This window comes from Homo sapiens, chromosome 5, assembly GCF_000001405.40.
Source record: "Homo sapiens chromosome 5, GRCh38.p14 Primary Assembly".
NCBI classification, from domain to species: domain Eukaryota; kingdom Metazoa; phylum Chordata; class Mammalia; order Primates; family Hominidae; genus Homo; species Homo sapiens.
Genome location: NC_000005.10, coordinates 169,787,631 through 169,805,761, shown reverse-complemented (window position 1 = coordinate 169,805,761; position 18,131 = coordinate 169,787,631). Strand labels below are relative to the sequence as shown.

The 18,131-nt window shown below is 41.6% G+C and overlaps 1 protein-coding gene across 8 annotated transcripts in view, besides 2 other annotated features; it reads right to left on the bottom strand.

Annotated features, from left to right (window-relative positions):
* Positions 1 to 18,131, bottom strand: part of DOCK2 (dedicator of cytokinesis 2) — a 446,108-nt gene that overhangs the window by 277,621 nt on the left and 150,356 nt on the right. For all 8 annotated transcript variants that reach the window (NR_156756.1, NM_004946.3, XM_011534449.3 and 5 more), the window contains exon 26: positions 2,556 to 2,704. Coding sequence is in view for 7 of the 8 variants with exons in the window: in NM_004946.3 (NP_004937.1) it covers positions 2,556 to 2,704 (149 nt within the window). In the remaining variant the exon portion in view is untranslated. The remainder of the gene's footprint in view (positions 1 to 2,555; positions 2,705 to 18,131) is intronic.
* Positions 212 to 261: an enhancer, noted in NCBI's record as "active region_23601". NCBI's record gives its function as "activates an Ori minimal core promoter by ATAC-STARR-seq in GM12878 lymphoblastoid cells {active_cell/tissue: GM12878}" and the evidence as "EXISTENCE:reporter gene assay evidence [ECO:0000049][PMID:35858748]".
* Positions 392 to 441: an enhancer, noted in NCBI's record as "active region_23600". NCBI's record gives its function as "activates an Ori minimal core promoter by ATAC-STARR-seq in GM12878 lymphoblastoid cells {active_cell/tissue: GM12878}" and the evidence as "EXISTENCE:reporter gene assay evidence [ECO:0000049][PMID:35858748]".

Genomic DNA, 18,131 nt, shown 5'->3' with positions numbered 1-18,131 from the left:
CTAAGTATCGAGGGTGTGTAAGACAGCAAGCAGCCTCTTCTCACCAGTGTCTGATGTCAGGGAATGTGCAAAAGGGTGACAGCCTGTCAGGGTAGAGCTCTAGGGGGCCACTCCCCTGGGATGGGCAGAGCCTCAGCATCCTACTTCACAAATAACTGTGAACTGGGGCCATCTTTCCACCAAACCAGGAACTTGACAATTAGCACATTATAACTGGATCCCCCAAACTGGGGGCCACTGGCATATTCCCAAGGACCCACATTTTTTTCCCCATTTAAAGGGATCTGAGCATTACTAAAATGTAAAAAACACTGTGGATTGGCTTTTCAACAGAAAGAGGCAAATTTTTTTTTAAGACAGAGAGTCAGGGTCTGTTCTGTCACCTGGGCTGAAGTGCAGTGGCAAGATCATAGCTCATGGAAACCTTGAACTCCTGGGCTCAAGGAATCCCCTCACCTCAGCCTCTCAAGCAGCTAGGACTATAGGTACATGCCACCACACCCGGCAAATTTCTTTTCTTTTCTTTCCTTTTTTTTTTTTTTTTTGTAGAGACAGAGGTCTTGCAATGTTGCCCAGGCTGGTCTCAAACTCCTGGCCTCAAGTAATCCTCCTCCCTGGGCTACCCAAAATGCTGGGATCACAGGCATGATCAACCTCCCTGGCTGAGGCAACATTATATAGGATGTTACCACAGAAATAATAGACAAACCCTCATGTTTCTACACTATGAGTAAGACTGAAATCTCCCTTTAAAAAAACAATTTTTAAAAAGATCAAATAGCTAAGACTGGAACCAGCTCAACAGCTGGCTACTGAATGTCCTTATAGAAACATCATCACCCTAACATCATCATCTGAATGAATCTAGAATATCTAAGCTTTTGGTTATTATACTGTCTTTCCATTAAATGAGGTAGGAGTAGAAAGAAAAAGACCATGCCTTTGTATCCCCTATGCCTGTGATTACACAGAGTCTGAATCAGACTGACCTGTGTTTGAATTTTGACCCTGACATTTATTTGCTCTATTTATTTGGCCTTGAATGCTAATGAAGTCTATGAATTTCAGGTTTTTCATCTCTAAAATGGGAATAATAAGCCTTAGTATCTAGGATCAGGGTGAGCAGAGAGAATGCGCAGATTGCATTTAGCACAGTGCCTAGAAACCAACAAATAGAGATATGATCATTAATTATTCACCACTGAACACTAGCTGAAGCTTCACCTCCTTTGTGTAGGCTTCCTTGACAAAAATGCTTACGCGCACGCGCGCGCGCACACACACACACACACACACACACACACACACACACACACACACACACTTTGTAGCTCTTGTACCCCAAATATGCATCTAGATTTTAGTCGTTATATATTGGGGATAGGTTTTCTTGTTCCCAGTGCCTAGCGCACACCGGGTATGTCATATGTATTAATATTTCTGCATGAATGAATGAAGCAAGCTATGCATATGTAGTAATAAGACAAGAAGCGGCTTAATTGGGATGGTAAGTGTAGAAAGGAAGAGACAGGAGAAGACAGTATGCAAGGAAATTGATCATAATGGTTGACTATGGATCTGACCAGTAAAGGAACATTGCTCTGCAGAGTTTTCGAATTACAGTCAATAATAGACACAGTTCATTCAGAAAGCTCTTCTCTGAGGATGTTCTAGGGAGGAGAGAGAAAGGGGCAATGCTCACACAAATGCTTAGAAAAAAATGTATTGGTTGTTTGGGTCTATGTAGTCCTCTGAAGCCAGTCCCATCTAAGGACTGAATACCTCCTGGACATTACTCAAGGACAAAGAGGAGCTGCCAGAGGAACCTGGGTCAGATCCAGCACCCTCCTTCCATCTTCCAATGCTTAAGAATTCCAGGCCTGGGTCTAATCACTACCTCTCAGTCTTCACCACCCCATCTGGCTTATCTTCTGCAGATTCAGCCCTTTGGAAGCCCTCCACTTACTCCCACTGAGACTTTCCTTTGGTTTCCGTCCCCAGCTAATCTCTGAATGACGTCTACAAAATACACAGTAACTTCACGGCCACAGGCATCTCCCTACCACCATCCTACTCCACACCCTATCTCTGGAATCTGAGCCCCAGCAATCTGCTCATCCAGGAAGAGGCTTAATCATTTTTGTCATTTCAGAAGGTAACTGAAGAAACAAAACCGAAGTAAATCAGCTAAGAAAGCAGACACGAGAGTTTTCTTGCTGTCTAGGCATAGGAAACTCCTCCTCCCACCCCTGCAAACTAGGGCGTGAGTACGTGGACAAGCCATCTTAAAAGGCTGCAATAATGTCTATACCCACATTCTGAGAAAGCCTGGCCAACAAGACACACAGAGACAAAATGCTAACATGATTAACTCCAGTCCCCTAGCCATCCTTCACAGCAATGGGGGTTAGTCACAGGAAAAGTAGGCCTGCTGAGCAAGCCGTTGACTTTTATCTTTAGACTCCAGCTGCTATCCATCAGTATCAATATTTCACAATGTAATCAACTTAGCCCTAGTCTGAGTCCAGGATATCTACATCATCAGGAGGACTCACCGCATCCTGGTAGCTAAGGACTTCCAAGATGCTGTTGAGCAATTCAACGCAGTACTTCCTCTCCAGGACCTGGTGTTGCATGTCATCCTTCTGCTCCAGCAGCTCCTTCAGCTCTTTGGTGATGACAGGAAGCAGAATGTCCCGGCATTCTGGAATAAAGACAGTTCAGAGTAGTGTAGAATTCCTCATTTTTTAGTTTCTTTTCTTTCATATATGCATACAATGTTTCATTAAATAAATAGTTCATGAAGACATTCTCCTTGTAAAAAATTAAAATATTAAAGATTAGGTTAAGATTTCCTGAGAACATCATTCACAATTCTAGTCCCTTTTCTAACCCTTCCTACCCAGAGGCAACCAGTTATTTTATTCTGTATATTCTAGTATGTTCTATATATTTTATATATACACATACATATAAAAATGTGCCATATGAAATATCTAGTGTTATTTTAACTTTGCATTTCATTTAAGTCTATTACTGTCACTATAAACTTCCAAGACCCTTTTATACAATTTTACTTATGTGTTTATCAGTATAAAACATATAGTTATTTTGGCTTTGTTTCCATTTTATACAAGGGGACCATGATGTATATATTACTCTGAACCTTGATTTTTTTTCACTCACTAATATTTCTTGGAGCACTTTCTGTATTATCACATTTAGGGACCAACTTAGTTATTTTTAACTGTTTTATAGTACTCCTTATCATGGATGTATTTTTCTATTCAGCCATACCTGTACTACTGAACATTCTTCTCTGGTACAGACAGTACAAAATGAACAACCTTCCACTTGCATCCTTCTGCACATTGCTTTCATTTACCAGCATGGCCAACGTGGCGAAAACCTGTCTCTACTAGAAATACTAAAATTAGTTGGGCATGGTGACATGCGCCTGTAATCCCAGCTCTTTGGGAGGCTGAGGCAGGAGAATCACTTGAACCCAGGAAATGGAGGTTGCAGTGAGCTGAGATGGTGCCACTGCACTCCAGCCTGGGTAACAGAGTGAGACTGCATCTCAAAAAAAGAAAGAAAGAAATTAAAACTTTTGCAGAGAAGGGTATGTCTCTTGACATTGCTGTTTCAGGGAAATTTCTGGAAGGTTCTGAAGCCCTTCGCAGCTTTGTCTCCATATTTCCCTTGAAAACAGAAAACCTTGAGGAAAAAAAAAAAATCCAAACATGTGTCAAGCTGCCCCGACTCAGATGCTGCTTGAGCTGCAATATGAATCATACACACCAGGATATCATTTTAAATCTAACAAATAGATGTTGGACATCTTTAATGTGAAGATACTCTCCTTATCAAGGTACAGAGATAAGATGTGGTTCTGCCCATTAGGTACTTAAAAACTGACAGAGGTGATTACAGGAAAAAAAAAAAAAAAGCAAAACCAATGAACAATGGCAGAAATTAGAATAAGACAAAGGTCAGAAGAGGTAGAGGACATCTCTTATTCTGTCAGCCCAAGAGCTACACCCACTCCTTCTGGCACAGCACCCTGACTGTACGTGGGGGAGTCATACTGTCATGGGCTATAATCCTGAGAAGCTGTCATAGGCTCCCTGCCTTCCCCTGGAGAAGGGCTGGACACCTGGCCCCAATTAGGATGGCCTCCTGAAATCTGAATCTTGAGGGAACGTTCATAATGATAACTGCCAACGGTACTAATACACAGTATTTTGAGTGCTTACAATGTGCTAGGCACTGTTGCAAGTGTCGTGCATGAATCATCTCAGTAAATTCTCCTAGTGACTAAGGGAGGTAGACACTATTATTTCCCCGTTTTGCTGATGAGGAAACAAAGGGACTTGTCATGTGTACACAGCTAGTAAGTGGTAAATCCAGCCCGACTGCAGAGACTGTGCTCTTAAGCACTACATGAAATGTGCAGTCTTGGCTGGGCATGGTGGCCTACGCCTGTAATCTCAGCACTTTGGGAGGCTAAGGCAGGTGGATCACTTGAGGTCAGGAGTGTCAGACCAGCCTGGCCAATATGGTGAAACCCCAAGTCTACTAAAAAAAAAAAAAAAAAAAAAAAAAAAAAAAAAAACCCAAAACTATCTGGGCATGGTGGCAGGCACCTGTAATCCCAGCGACTCAGGAGGCTGAGGCAGGAGAATAGCTTAAGCCAGGCAGAAGCTTAAACCAGGGAGGCAGAAATTGCAGTGAGCCAAGGTCACACAACTGCACTCCAGCCTGGGCAACAGAGCTAGACTCCATCTCAAAAAAAAAAAAAAAAAAAAAAAAAAAAAGAAAGAAAGAAAAGAAAAAAGAAAAAGAAAAAAGAAATATGTAGTCTCTCAGGCTCCGCTTTCATCCCAGAAGTGCCCCAAGGAGGCTGCCCAGGGGCACATGCTGAGTCCCCTCTCCCTCCAAGATTCTGAGTCTCTCCTCTCCGATAACTAGTTCCTCAGCATTTCCTCTGATTCTATGGATTATTCCCTTTCTTCTAAATACATTTGTTTTTACTTAAATTTACCAGAGTAGGATTCTGTTGCTTGAAACCAAAGAGTCCCAATTTACAGAGTCACAAAACAAATTGAATGCTTCAGAAGCCCTCTCATGAGCTCTGGTCAGAAGGTTCATAGAAGACTTTATAGGATCTAATAAGAGTATATCCCTTCTCTCAGAGCCAAATCTCAGTTTTTAATTAAATTCCAATAAACGTAATTAATGTCCATTCATCCCACTAAAGATTAAGCTCCATGAGAGCTGAACTAATATTCAAGTGCCTGATACAGTACCTGGTTCATAGCAGTGAGTCAGTAAATCTTGGCTGAATGAATGGAGGAGGTGGCATTTGAGACAGTCCGTGACAAGTGGATAATATTGCAATAGGAAGAGTGAGGATTTAGGGAACACTGGTGGTTTAGAGAATATAAATCTAGGGTTATATTCTCTTGGAAGGAGAATAATGAAAGATAACACTTAAAAGAAGTGTTCTTAATTGCAATGGAAGTGTCAGTTCTATGGAAACAGAAAATTATAGATGACAAAAATTTTGATTCTGCTTTGCTTAAAATTGTAGATAGAATCATAGGCCACAGCTTTAATGACACTTTATGAGAAATTTGGACTGAAGATATTGTTGGGGCTGAGCATGGTAGCTCACTCCTATAATTGCAGCACTTTGGGAGGTGGAGGCAGTAGGATAACTTGAGCCCAGGAGTTCAAGACCAGCCTGGGCAACATAGGAAGACCCCATCTCTACCAAAAATTTAAAAATTAGCTGGGCATAGTGATGGATGCCTGTAGTCCCAGCTACTCAGGAGGCTGAAGTGAGAAGATCAGAGCCCAGGAAGTAAAGGCTGCAGTTAGCCATGATCACACCGCTACACACCAGCCTGGGCGACAGAGTGAGACCCTGTCTCAAAAGAAAAAAAAACCAACTCGTTGGCCTAAGGACTTTTGAGAGTACAATACATTGATTAGCCACTACCCTTTGTTTAGAAAGATAAGGAAGAAAGTTGGAGAAAATATATCTATTACTTTATCAATTACCCTATTACTTAAGTTAAATATTTAGTCCATATCTTGCCATCATAAAGTTGAGATTTTCATCCAGATGTATTTATTAAGCAGGGTAAAAAAATGTCTTACAATATTCATTAAAAAGTTTATTTTAAAAGTTATCTTCTCTTTTTTCTTTTGCCTGGCTAAAAGTTATCTTCAAAAGGATGTGAACTTGTAATTTTGCAATCTTTTGTTTGCTAGAGGGAAATTAGGTGTTGAAATTCTTGTTGTAGAAAAACCAGGTGAGTTCATCTGAAGTGGTAAATGCTTTGTCATTGGGATACGAATAACTTCCCTAACTTAATGATACTTAGCTTCCCAATTATGCCTTCATTGATGTGATAATTAAGCCCAACCAGAAGATAAAAATTGTGCATTATCTTACTAAGTTAGATAAAGTGGTAAAGTCTTCCTCTTTGAAAAGTAAAATAAGAGATTCTAAAAAAGGAGATTTAAAATACAACAGAAAGTCTTGTTTTTCCACAGTCCTCTGGGTAAAAGGGAGTCACCAAAAGATGTGCCTTCAGGAAATCTGTGTCACTGCAGTGAAGATGCCATGGTGATGACAATCCAGGTGATGACAATGAGTATAAGAGTGCGCAGGTTGTCCCCTAGATTCCCAGCTTCTGACATAACGTATTTGGATTCTGCTGAAGCTAAAGATTTGATAAACTCTTGAAGCAAGGTAGTAAGAAACAAATCAAGCGTGGTCAATTGCCTTGAGCTTAAAGTACAAGATGACAATGTTTTAAGGCTTAAAATAGCTTTTTGTGGCTCAAGATTAAAAATTATTTAAAACTTTCTCCACCTGTAAAATGAGGTCAGTTGGACCTACAGGAAGGAACTATGTAAAGGCAGATCAAGAGCTAACCCATTCACACATTTAACTGACTCTTTCAGTCAGTCATTCTACACATTTATGGAAGGCTTACTATGTGCCAGTCACTATTCTAGGGTGGAAAGGAATGACCAAGGGTTAACTACCCAGCACTGCACGGAGCCAACAGAGATAAGAAGCAGACTTGAGTAGACAGGAAAAACACTTAGTACCTTTACATCTTAGGAGTGGCAACCTATTAGGAGTGGTCATAAAACAGAGCTGTGGAATAACTGAGGTCAGGGTTTTCCTTAAAAGGTCATTCTGTTAGCACTCTAGTTGAGATACCGCACATAAATCCCATTACTAAGATATGAATCCAAGGAAAAAGCCACTTAGGAGATTTTAGATATGAAAGATCTCCTTGGTAAGTCACCAGACTTTAAATCCCACTTAAAATTGAACTAAGCTAGTAGATTTTTCACGGGAAAGTCTGGCAGTAAGTTCTCCATTCCTAGAAGTATACAAGTAGTAGGTTGCTGTCTATAGATAGGCACAAGGAAGAGGTAAAGTATCAGATGAAGGGATGAACTGAATGATTATTAAGGCCACATGCAAAATTCTAGGATTCTACAAAACATAGGTTCCGAGGAAGTTGCAGGAGGAAGGATATATTTGCTAGGTGGAAAGACAGTGGGTGTTTGCCTTGCTCACAGAGTACTGAGGCTGTGGGAGCTGCAGACCAGGCACTAGGAGAAGCAATGGTTTATCAACCTGAAAGGCAGCTGCTTTACAGATTCTCAAAACCAGCATCCCCATAAGATGGAGGCTCATGGTGTGGAGAGTCAGCAAGATTTTCACTGAAGAGACCATTAATAACATGGCCTGTTTTTCAGAAGGTACTCTGTCTTCTCTTTAACCATGATTTCTCAGAAATGTCTGGCTCCTGTTTGTAGATGAAATAATTTTTCTCATTTGTAATTGGAGCTGTGAAATTATATTAGTCGTAAAGCTTCAGGAAGCAGCATTTCCAAATTGCTGCTTGATTGTCAAGCCAACAAACACAAATGGTTTTGAAGATAAATAGTTCACACCCTGAAATAAATCTTCATAGGCAGAGGTAATGAATGTCAGAGACCTGCACACCCAGGCTGGGTTCCTGCCTTAGGTATCCAATGTCTGACAAAGGCTGGGAGACTTACCACCGAGTGACAAGTCCAAATTATAATTCAGACCAGCCATGGGGGAATCTGCAGAACTACTCAACTCTTTGGGTTTTAATTGAAAGGGTTTTCTTTGTCCAAGTGACTGCAGAGAGGAAAATGCGGTATTTCTGGGTTCTGGGTCCTCCCTTAGGAAAGTTTTGTCATGTGGCGGTCAGTGCTACCTACCTGAATGCAAAGCCCTCTTGAAGTGTGGTGTGCTTTTGCAATTATTTGATGGCTCAGGGACACTTCAAATAAGAGGACCCTTTTTTCACCTGCTCCTTGCCAGTATCAGCTCCATTGGAAGAACTAAATGAAAATTCTTTGTCACTTTGGAAAACCACCTTGAGGTGCATCCAGCCAAAATCACATCTGCAATCACAGCCACAATCCAGCTCCAGCAGAAAACACTTCTAAAAACCATATCTGAATTGACCCTCTTCCCCACAAGTCTGTTCTTTCTCCTTTGCTGTCTCTCAAGAGTGAGGACACCCCCAGTCACACAGTCAACCAAGCAAAGAAATCATCTTTCAGTTCTTCTCTTTACATCAGCATCTAATCCATCATGAAGTTATGTCCATTCTACCCTCAAGCCAACTTCCTTCATGTTCTGTGTCAAGTCTCCTAACCACCCTACCTGCTCCCTGCACAGGAGTCCCTTGTGGTCAGGAAATTCTTCAGTAACTTCCTATTGCCCTCAGAATGAGTTTTTTCAACTCTCTGGCATGGCTGGAGGCCATCTGTGAGCAAGCTCTTCCCTTAACTCATCGTGGGCGCTCACCACTTTCCACTCCTCCACCTCCCTCTCTCTGTTCCAACCACAAACTCTCTCCTTCTCCTGAATTTTTGCATGTTATTTTCTTTGCCTAGAATACTCTTGTCCCAGCCATCTTCTCCTGACTCCTTCCCTTCTAGCTGTTAACTTAGATGTCAAATCCTCTAGGATGATTTTCCTGACACCCCGCCTTTGCCTTGGGTGACTCTTCTTCATTCCTATAGCACCCAGAATATATTTCGATATATTTCCATCTTACTATTTATCACACGATATGGTCATTGTCTATGTAACAGGAAAACCAGTGAGATTCTTGCTGTCATCCCATAAATGAAAGTAAGGCCCAAGCTGTAGTTGGGGTACACCATCATCCCTCCAGGTTTTTTGAGAGGTACCAGTTCAGGACCAGCCCTACACCAATCCACATGCACTCACCCAGAAATAATAGAAGGTCAGCAGTGGCCTTTTGATATAATGCAATTTCCATGGGATATGCCATTACCCCTCTCCTCCATGAAACTCATGTTGAGAGAAGGAGAACCCAAAGAATCACTCATAAAACATAAGACAAGATGGACACTATATCCCTGCTAGGGAAATGCTTGCCAATCTGTGAACCCAGGTACATCCTGGTCCCACCATCAGAATACAGATTTTAGGACATTCTGGAGTGTAGTGCACGGTACTTCTCTAGCCCCTCTCTTAGTGTTGGGGAAGAGGGTTAAACACAAGCAATGCATCTGTGTCAGGGCTCAGTCACATCCTCAGCATGAGTGCCCACGTTTCTAAGCCTGACTGTGGCAGCCTGCACTTGGAATCTCATTCCACTCATAACCAGCCCCAGACTTTGTCACCAGCACGGGTTAATCGACTCTTCAATCCTGTTCCATTTTTCACAGACTTTAAGGTGAAATTCATTCGGCTTTGGCCAAGTTCCTATTGACTGAAAGTCGAATTCTCCTCAGCTCAACTCTCTCGGAGGACTGGCAATGGGGAAGGGGCGGGGGATGCTATAGATATCACAGCTCACCCTGCCCTCCCTGTGTAATTGAAACCCAAAATTCTCCCAGGCAGGGCTGACCAGTGTAAATCCAGCTCTGCTCTGCCAGGCTGCTTTTCTTCTGTTCGGTTTGCGAGCATTTGCAGATGTTGAAAGCCACTTGGTTGGATCAACTGGACACAAAGGGAGATCTCCATAGACATGATTCTAGTCTGACAGTTAGCAATTTGTTCTCACAACCTCCCTCCTCCAGCCAGCATATCACGAAGAAAACTAATTCCGCCCACTGGGAAATCAATAACTACCCACAAATTTCATATTCCAGATCAGGTTACAAGCCTTTTACAACTTCACTAGCATTTTCCCCCAACGCATTCTTCAGCAGCTCCCCATGAGTCACTTGCCTCACCCCCAGAAACATGCCTCATTACAACACCCAGAATCATCACCTGCAGCCCTCTGGCGAGCCTCCGGCGCCATCTACGTCTCCACTTTATGAACCCCTCGGGGACCAAAATGTATCTCCCAGCTAAACAAACCCGGCCTATTTAGAAATGTTAGAACTCAGCACCTGGTTAAAATTCTCTCCAGGTATCTTAGAAGGGAGAAAATATAGTTAGGCGGTAAATCCTTAAGGAAAAATGTACTTCCAGAACTTTATACTAGATATCCATCGAAAGTCCAAACCAAGCTCTTGCTTTTACCATATATCCTTTATATTGAACGTAAAAAGTGATTTTGCACTAAACCTAATAAGCAAATACCCTATAAGTTGGCTCATGCCATTTAGAAACACAGAGACAGCAGGGAGGGTGGACTGACATGTAACTGATGGAACTGTTACTGTATATGTGTGTGTAGGGATGGGGTCTTGGTATGTTGCAGGCTGGTCTCAAACTCCTGGGCTTAAGCAATCCACACACCTTGGCCTCCCAAAGTAAAGAACTTTTTTGTGTGTTTGTTTGAGACAGAGTCTCGCACTGTCACCCAGGCTGGAGTGCAGTGGCGCGATCTCTGCTCACTGCAAGCTTCGCCTCCCAGGTTCATGCCATTCTGCTGCCTCAGCCTCCCAAGTAGCTGGGACTACAGGCGCCTGCCACCACACCCAGCTAATTTTTTGTATTTTTAGTAGAGACGGGTTTCACCGTGTTAGCCAGGATGGTCTCGATCTCCTGACCTCGTGATCCGCCCGCCTCGGCCTCCCAGAGTGCTGGGATTACAGATATGAGCCACTGTGCCCAGCTAAAGTAAATAACTTTTAACAGGATGTGAATATGTTTGTATCCCAAAAAGTCACACTGATTATAAATATAATTTGAAAGCTCTGAGAGTCGACATGCAATATATTTATATCCTTAAACATGTATGTTTAAATATATATACATATATATGCATACACACATAGTCAATACTCACTGTTCTCATGGATATTATATTCTAGTAAAGTGCTAAAGTGCTATAAATAATTAAATAAACAAGATAATAGTTGTCTTAGGTTAGATACTCCAGAAGCAAACTCTAACATGAAGTTTGGATGAAGAGGACTTATTAGGAGATGTTCCAGAAAAATATGCAAGAGGAGTGGGGAAGTGGAGGGAAGGAGGCCAAGCCGAGTACAAAAATCAAGCAAGCCTCACAAAAGGTAACTTTTGAACTCAATCCTATGAGGAGTTCTGGAGACAGTGTAGACTCCAGGGGTGATGAACCTGGAATGTTCAGACCCGGCGGGTGGACTGCGCTTTCGGTGGTTCCAGTTCCCGGGAAAAGTAGGGTCCTGCAGCCCGAGGGCAGCCCTGGGAGGCAGGTGCTGGAGTTGGGGGCCATGAGAGCTGATGTTACAACAATGGGCGCTGATAACTACCAGCAAGGAAATTAACCAGGTGACAGGATGAAGAGAATCTAGGGGCCTGTGAAGACCACTTCATACAGTGCAGTCAACGAAGGCCTCGCTGAGCCGGGCACACTTAAGCTGAGACCTGAACGGGGAGAAGGCAGCTGCATGCACTGATTTCAGGGAGGCACACTTGGAGAGGAAAGGGCATGGAAAGGCTCTGGGGTGGAAATCTGCAGAACTTGGAGGAATGATGTGGACACAAATGTGGCTGGATTGCAGGAAACAGGGGTTTAATGTGAGATGATAAATTTGGAGAAGTTGCCAGGGCCAGGTCTCATCAGGCCCTGGGGCCCATGGTAAAAAGTTTGATTCCTGGGTAGTGATAAACACTTTTCATTTTTGTGTTTTTAATGGCGGACCTAGAGAGGAAGGTGGGAAAACACTGAGGAGGCTTTCTGTAGAGGTAAAGAAGGGGTCTTGTACTTATTGCACCCTGACTGTCTACCAGGCATTCTCTCTATGAAGTATATCATTATACCTATTTTACAGATGAGGGAACTGAAGCCTAGAGAGGTTCAGTAACTTGCCTAAAATCACACAGCTAGTAAGCAGAGCTGCATTAAACTCAGGAAATATGATTCCAGAGCCCATATTCATACCTATTAAACTATCCTGCTTCCTTACTATAACAGTGCAGGGGAGAGAAGACAAAAGCTTGATTCATTTGCAGCAGTAGAGACAAGGGTGCAAGTACAGAGGGAAGTCGATGAACATGGGTTATTTTTTGAAGGCAGAGTCGACATGACCTGCTGATGGATTAGATGTGCTACATACCTGTGTAAGCATATGCATTTTGGAGCATTTGAGTGAGACAGCAATAGATTCATTTTAGGGTTTATCAAATTAGGGTGTAATCATAGAGACCATTTCCTGGCCTCAACTGGCAAGTAATGAAAGACTCCCATCAACATCTCTCCGATGGCAGGAAATGGCCACTGAGATAGCCTATCATCACGCCTTCTGAAAGCTACTAGGACATAAATAGTGTGTTCTGAAAGGTACTTGCACCCTTAGTTACCCCACTGCACTTGCCTGCAGCTGCTGGCTGGCCTCCTCATTGCTAGCTTGCTCATTAAATCCAGCTCCTTAGAAATGCTTTGGGAAAAATAAAAAGCCAATCCAGCTCCTTAGAAAGTGCTTTTAGAAAAATAAAAATGCATATATGGCCAATTGAATTGGGACCCAAAATTTGATTTGTTTCCTAATGCTTAGAATGATTACATTTGCAGTGCCACACCAGATGAATGCAGTTTGGGCTGTTGGAAGACTGTGCACCCACCTCTTCATCCTGGTGATGAAAGGAGCAGCAAATAAAAAAGCTTCTGGCTGACGAAGCTGCCTCTGTACTGGATAATCTTGACAGTCTTTAAAGAAGGATTCCTAGCTGGGTGCTGGGCATGCACCTGCAGTCCCAGCTACTCGGGACACTGAGATGGAAGGACTGCTTCAGCCCAGGAGTTCAAGGCCAGCCTGGGCAACATAACAAGACGCTCATCTTTAAAAAATATTTACGTATATATGCACACACACACACACACACATATATAAAATATATGTACACATATACATGTATACATATATAAAATATATATACACATATACATGTATACATATATAAAATATATATATACACACACACACATTACATAAATAAAGCAAGATTTTTAGGAAAGTGCTCTACTTCAAATTCATGCAAGAGGAAAAATGAGTCCAGTAACGTTGTGACTATGAAGATCTGTGTCTCACATCCTTTGACACCATTTCCAATTCGATGACATCTGAATTCACATGGATTTATAAGTGCTCAGGACACCTATCAGATTGGTCAGCACCTCCCACACCCTTCCAGGGCTATCATCCCTGACCCACTGTCTCTCATTTACATCACACCATACAGAATCCCTTATTCCCTCATGCCAGTCTCCTCTAGAGACTCATAGAATTCCATGGTTTCATGACTCTCAATCTCTACTTAACCAGGAACTCCTACACTTTTATCTCTTTATTAGCTAGTCCATGGTCACATACTCAAATAGAGTCTTCTCAGCAGCCAGGGTCACTATAACATATTTTTTTAAAGGGACAGAAATTATTGGTGTGAAGGGGAGTGAGAGAGTGGAATATTAATTGTGAGAGATATGCAATGTACATTGAACTCCTGCTAGATCCTAGGCATCATACTGAGAATTTATTTAATCCTTACCAAAACCTATTCAATGGATTGCATTGTCCCCATTTTACAGATGAGAAAATAGGAGCTCCATGTAGCTCACCCAGCTAGTGTGTCTCCAACAGAGGCAAGGCCCCAGCATGGACCTGTCTGACTCCAACGCCAGTGTTATTCCAGCCCCACTCACTCCGGCTCATGAGTGCAGGGCAATTATTACCAATTTCTAGATTCTGCTAGCTTGAGGCAGCCACCCTCTGAGTTTGTTAACTCCCTTAAGTTGGCCTTAAATAGAAAATCCAAGACCTGGATAGCTTGGTCTGTTTAATGATTGATTGATGTTTGTTGTGGTTTTATAAGTTACAGTCCCAGGGGACTGAAAAGAAATCTCAGTCCTAGAACCTCAGAATTAAACAATAATGAGCATTAGTCAACTCAGTGGTTGAGTCTTTAGTCCAATCATTCACTTCTTTCATTTTTTTATTCAACTATAGTCGGTTGGGCTTCCCCATCGCATTGCAGTTGGCTAGCAAACAGCAATCATGACTTCAAGCCATTCGCTACCTTTTCCTCATCAGACAGTGAGAGCCTGGGGTGAGATATCCAATCTCAATCAAGTCATGTCTCCTACAGTTCCTAGCACAATGCCTGTTATCCAGTAGGATCTTAGTAAGTGTTAGATGAATGAGTGAGTGTTTGCTGAAGGCAAATAAGGGGCCCGTATTTAGGGCAACTCACAGAATCAGAACCCTGTTTAGTGTTGGATTGATCAATACTCATTATTCAGTGTTATCCTTGAGGAAACTAGGTGGTAGCAGCTGGGGGTGGGATGGGAGGTGTAGAAGGAGAACTGCATGTGTGTTTCTTTACCTTCACCACCTCCCCTGAGCCGTTTTACCTAATCATAGAGGAAGGCATGGCATAGTAAGTAGAGCTTTGGGTTAAAGGTTGGGAGACCTGGGTTTGAATCCCAGCCTTACTACCACCAGGCTGTGTGTAACCTTGGATGAGCCATTTCACTTCTCTCCCTCCAAAAATGGAGATGAGAATGACTCTTTCATAAGAAGATCAAAGTAAAACATGATACAAATTCAGTTGCAGTTATTAAGTGCAATGAGGCATTGGGATCCAATGCTATGCAGAAGTTTTTCAGTCCAAAGGAGAGCATGTTAAAGCTTCAGTTTCCTTCCACTGTTGCTAACTTATAAATTTTACAAATGCCTGGTCCAGACAGGCTGGAATAAAGTGGACTTAAAGCTATTATCTGCATCATTCAAACAAACTACACTTTGGTCTGAATACCAAACTCAGAGAATTGAGTTCCAAGAGGTGGGTATAAATTGAAATAATTGGGATATATGCCTCAGATTTCCATTTTCCCTTTTGTATGTGGACAGACTAATGGAGGGCTCAGGCAAGCGTTCTCTGAATGTCCTTTTTAATTTCTGTTTGCAACTTAGAATAATAATACCACGTACTGACAATCCTCAAGCCACACATGAACAATCCTATATTGCCCCCATCACAAAACTTACAAATACCAAAAAGAACAAAAGCCAACAGCAATGTTTTGAATCAATATGAGCAGCTAGCATTCCATTTCTGGGAAAATCATGCATTAAAAGCCTCTTGTTTACATTTTAAGGCTAACAGAGGGGCCCTTCATTTCAGAGAATTAAATGAGAAAATTATCCTGGATTCAAGCATTAGCAAAATGGAATGGTTGTGTAATTGTTTCCAATCATCATCTGATTCTCCTCTTCCCTTACCTTCCCCATATCAGCTCTGAAGAAGAGGAGGCTGAAGCTCCTCTCATTTACAGCTCCACAGATTTAAAACCTAGTGTTGTTTATTACAAAAGGAAAACCAAGAAGTATACTATATTTCAAATAAACTGAAGAACTGGAAGCAAACTTCAAAGAGGAAAGGAAAAAACCACAGCCATTTTTCTCCCTATAAATAAAAATGGAAATGGGAAGAATTTATCCGCTGGCCTGGTTTTCTTTTCTAAAAGCACTCAGCTAAGAAGATAGAGAGATGAGACAGACTTGAGGCAGGGGCTCTTGCCTGCTTTATTTCTTCACTTGTGAAAAAGAGCCAAGGGGAGCCCTTCCCTAAAAGGCCCAAAGCAAAGAGTGATTTAAGAAATGTATCATAAACTTAGGCCCAATATTTAAATAAGAGGATCAAAGAGATTTTGCTTGGACTCTACAGCAATAAAAGAGGAACTGGGGAAAGTATGAGATGGGAGGAAATAAAGATAATAAATATCAGTTAAAGACATGTAATGAGCTCTCTGTGCAAACAGATGACAACATATGCTCCTTACCTTTGAACAGTCCATGTGTACTAAAGGAAAGAAGCAGTCAATTGATGGGAGCAGTAAGAAAACATATGTACAATGAAACATATTACATTTCACAGAACTACCATTTGATCCAGCAATCCCATTACTGGGTATTGACCCAAATAAATATAATTCGTTCTATTATAAAGACACATGCACACGTACATTCATTGCAGCACTATTCACAATTGCAAAGACATGGAATTAACCTAAATGCCTATTAATAAAAGACTGGATAAACAAAATGTGGTACATATACACCATGGAATACTATGTGGCCATAAAAAAGAACAAGATCATGTCCAAAGGTATGAGTGGAGACAGGGACATGGATGGAGCTGGAGGCCATTATCCTTAGCAAACTAATGCAGGAACAGAAAACCAGATACTACATGTTCTCACTTATAAGTGGGAGCTAAATGATGAGAACACATGGACACTCAGAGGGGAACAACCCTCACTGGGGTCTATCGGAGGGTGGAGAGTAGAAGGAGGGAGAGGATCAGGAAAAATAGCTAATGGGTATTAGGCTTAATACCTGGGTGACAAAATAATCTGCATAACAAATCCCCATGACACAAGTTTACCCATATAACAAACCCGCACATGGACCCCTGAACTTCAAATAAAAGTTAAAAAAAGAAACATACCATATTTCAAATTATGCTCAGTGCCCCCAACATGAATCTACAATTGTACTCCTATGAAATTGCAAGTAATTTTGCACATTATTTGTTCATGTGTTTATTATTAGTTATAAGTATTTCTTTATACATTACCTTAGTCCAAAAAGAATGAAAGAAGAAAGATGACATCCCAATGGAAAAGACAACATGAGCTCCAACTGCCCTTACTGGGGCCATAAGGGCAGCCCTCCAAGTTCTAGAGTTTGTTGATCATTAGGATAGAAGAGGACAAATTCCTTGCAGGAACCATAGCTTTTTCTGGCACGAAATTCTTAAAGAAATTTTTCATATTGTGTTTTAATGTTAATGTTCTACACTGAGTTTAGTAGTCATTTGCTGCTTTTGACTCAAATTGTGAAATCTTAGCTCTGAAAAGAACTGGAGAGAAGCTAATGGTTTCAAGTCACTTGACTGTGTTTAGTGCTCTTGTGAAACATAAAAAAAATAAAGGGAGGAGGTTTCATGAGCGTGTGCTTGTCCCTCCATGGCACTTCCGTTTCTCTATTCATGTGAAAAAGTATGTGTCAAGCGTCTGCCAAATGCCAAGCATTCCATATGACACACGGGTGTACAGGACCAGCATGCAAGTGATAAAGAGAGAGATGTGACCAGATTCAAGGCATATATGAGAAAGGTTCAAAGGCAGAAAAATCATGGAAGAGCAGAAGGTTTTCTTGAAAAGAATGAGTAAAGTTTTGGAAATAATGAGTTTGAGTATCTATAAGACACTCAAAACGAGATGTCAAAGGAATGATTGGCTAAATATGTCTGAAAATAATCTAGTACAAATGGGTAAGCATCAGTTTAACCATATGAGAGATACAGTGGATGCGGCTGCCCCCTACAAAAAAAATAATTTCCCATGGGCAATTACAATGCATTTAGCAGAGAGTGGCTTCTTAATTTTATTTGGTGGTGCTCATGAAGACCATGATAAAATGAAAAGGAGCAGAAAAAAGAGAGGAAGAATGAAGAGAAAAAGAAAAAAGAAGAGGTAAAAGAGGAAAAAAAGACGGAGAAAAAGAAGAAAGAGGAGGCAAAGAAAGAGAAGACAGACACAGAAGAGGAGGCAAAAAAAAAAAAAAAGCAAAAGTGGAGGAGGAAAAGCATAGCAACTGGGCAAGAATGAGGACTGACTGAGGAGAAATGAGTATGGGAAGCT